This window comes from Homo sapiens, chromosome 5 (genome assembly GCF_000001405.40).
Source record: "Homo sapiens chromosome 5, GRCh38.p14 Primary Assembly".
NCBI classification, from domain to species: domain Eukaryota; kingdom Metazoa; phylum Chordata; class Mammalia; order Primates; family Hominidae; genus Homo; species Homo sapiens.
In genome coordinates, this window is record NC_000005.10 from 67461974 (window position 1) to 67464778 (window position 2805).

Genomic DNA, 2805 nt, shown 5'->3' on the forward strand with positions numbered 1-2805 from the left:
TTAGATAATAAAGTCAATTTGGCAATGGAGAAACTCAGACATAGAAAGATATTTAATAACATTCTCAAGCTAGCACAAAAAATTTGTGACTTAGATGTGATCAGAAGAGGTGTTTTTTTTTTTTCCACCAAGTCACATATCCATTTGAACGTGAAATACAGAATATTCGTAATGTTGAAATGTTCTCTCAATTGTATAATAATGTTTGAGACATGTAATGTCTTTGCAAGTCATGCCATATGGAGATGATATTCCCAGTAGACCATGAATATGTGTATGCATCTGTAATTAGTGATAAAATCTTACTTGTTGTGATCACATTGGAAAGAATGAAGCACATTCTTTTCATGCTATCCTGAATGTCTCTGCAGATTTATTGCTTAGAACATATTTACTTGTTTGTTGCAACATCTGCTAAACCTGTCTGTGTCTTATTAAAATAGCAAGCAGACCTAAGTATCAAGTGGTATCATTGGACATCACTCTTGGGTTGGTACACAAGTTTAATCGGGTAAAGGTCATGTTTGAAACATGTGACCCTCACTGTTTTCATAAGTTAGATTCTGCTCATTTCAATAACAAAGCTATTCTGATAACCGGTGTTGAGAATTGGATAGAATTCTACATAACCTCCACCCCACAAACATGGATTAACAGTGATGTTGATAATGATTTGCACAGGACATAATTGTTTCCAAATGAATTCAATATGTACTATCTCATAGACAGAGTCGATATATATAAGGGAGGCAATGGATACCAGGCATCCATATGGAGCTTTACTCAACTTGAACAGATTCAAGCAGCTTTTTAATTAAACCTTGGTAATTTTCCCCTATTGGAGGCAGCTGGAAGTCTTGGAAGACTCCTCCAGAAGCTTATCACATTTTTCAGCTTATCCCAATCCTATCACTTTTTCAGTTTCTCTCTCTAAATAAATATCCCCGATTTTTCTAGTCCATTTCTTTCTCTCTGATTTCTGATCTCTTAAAGCATTTATTGTCAGCATCCCATTATTTAATACTTGAATACATACTGCCATTATTATATAATACTTATAGAGTTATGTTCCACTTTGTTGGTTCCTGAGCGATGTCACAGGCTAATGTACAGTGTAGTAAAGTCCTTTATTTGAAGGGAACATAGGCCAACCAAATCATCTCCAAATTCTGTTTTCTTGCACCCACTGCCCTCATAAACCACTCCAAAGTGTTCCAATGTTTCTCTCTCAATGACCCAACAAACACCTGTATAGTATCTTGTTATACGTATATACCACATTTTAATTATACATTCAATTGTTGATGGATATTTGAGTTGTTTCCACATCTTGGTTAGTATGAATAGTGCTGCAATGAATATAGAAGTGCTAATGTCTCCTTGAGGTCTTGTTTTTATTCCATTAGGTAAATACTTAGAAGTGGGATTGCCGGATCATATAGTAGTTCAATTCTTACGTTTTCGAAGAACTTCCATACTGTTTTTCATAGCAGCTGTGCCATTTTGGATTCCCATCAACACCATTCAAAAGTTCAAAAGTTCAAAATTTCCTTTTGTCCACATTTTTGCCAACACTTCTTCTCTTTTAAAAAAATTAGAGTCATTCCACCAGGTGTCAGGTGATATCTTGTGGTTTTGATTTCTTTTCCCCGATGATTAGTGACATTGATCATTTTTTCATCTACCTATTGGCCATTTGTATGTCTTCTTTAGACAAATATCTAGATGAGTCTTTAGCGCATTTAAAAATTGAGTTATTATGTTTTTTAAACCATTGAGTTGTAGGAGTTCCTTAGATATTTTGGAAATTAACCATTATGCCATTGAGTTGTAGGCATTACTTAGATATTTTGGGAATTAATCAACATAGGATATATAGTTTGCAAATATTTTTCTCTCTTTCTGTAGGTTACCTTTTCACTGTGTTGCAATAAACTATTACTCTTCAATAAAAATGAATGAACTTTGAAGGATGAGGTCTTCTTGGCTTGGTTGGGATAAAAAGAAAGGCTAATCTTACTTAAGGGCCTGCCTTCTGCCAGATGCAGTGCAGTTACTTACCCCACTATTTAAAAAAATAGTTATTTTCTATAGTAAATGTTATTTGTCTTACCAAAAAAAGAACTACTGAAACACTATAAAACCTGAATTAATCTCAAAAATATCATGCTGAGTGAAAGAATACAGATGCATATGAGAATATGTTTTATGATTCCACCAATATGAAATTTCAGAATAGGCAAAACGAACCTACAGTAACAGGAAACGCATCAATGATTACTTGAGGCTAGAACTTCAATGTGCTTGAGAGGTCATAGTGGGATGCTTGAAGTGTTTTATATTACATTTGGGCTGACGGTAGCTTAGGCATATACATTTGTCAAAACTCATTTTGTTATACACTTAAAATGGGTGCATTTAATTATATTTAAATTATGTACTCTAATGAATTTAAACCTTTGAAAAAAGGTGCTAAACATCAAGAAGAAAATATTCTTCTAGCTTTTGCCACCATGTGTCCCTTGCCTTATAGTAGAATAGTCCCTTGAACTATTAGGTTGGTGCAAAGGTACTTGCAGTTTTTGCTATCGAAGGTAATGGCAAAAACCGCAATTACCTTTGCACCAACCTAATACTGTTCTCCTACTTTGTCCTGATTCTCTGTTGCAAGAGTCCAAGCACTTAAGTGGTTAAGAAGGAGTTTCTTGAATGTTAGGAAAGGAAATAGGCAAGACACAATTGACCAAGCTGGAATTATCTCTTGCTGTAAGAGGTAAGCAGAATGGCAGGAAAACTCACATATCA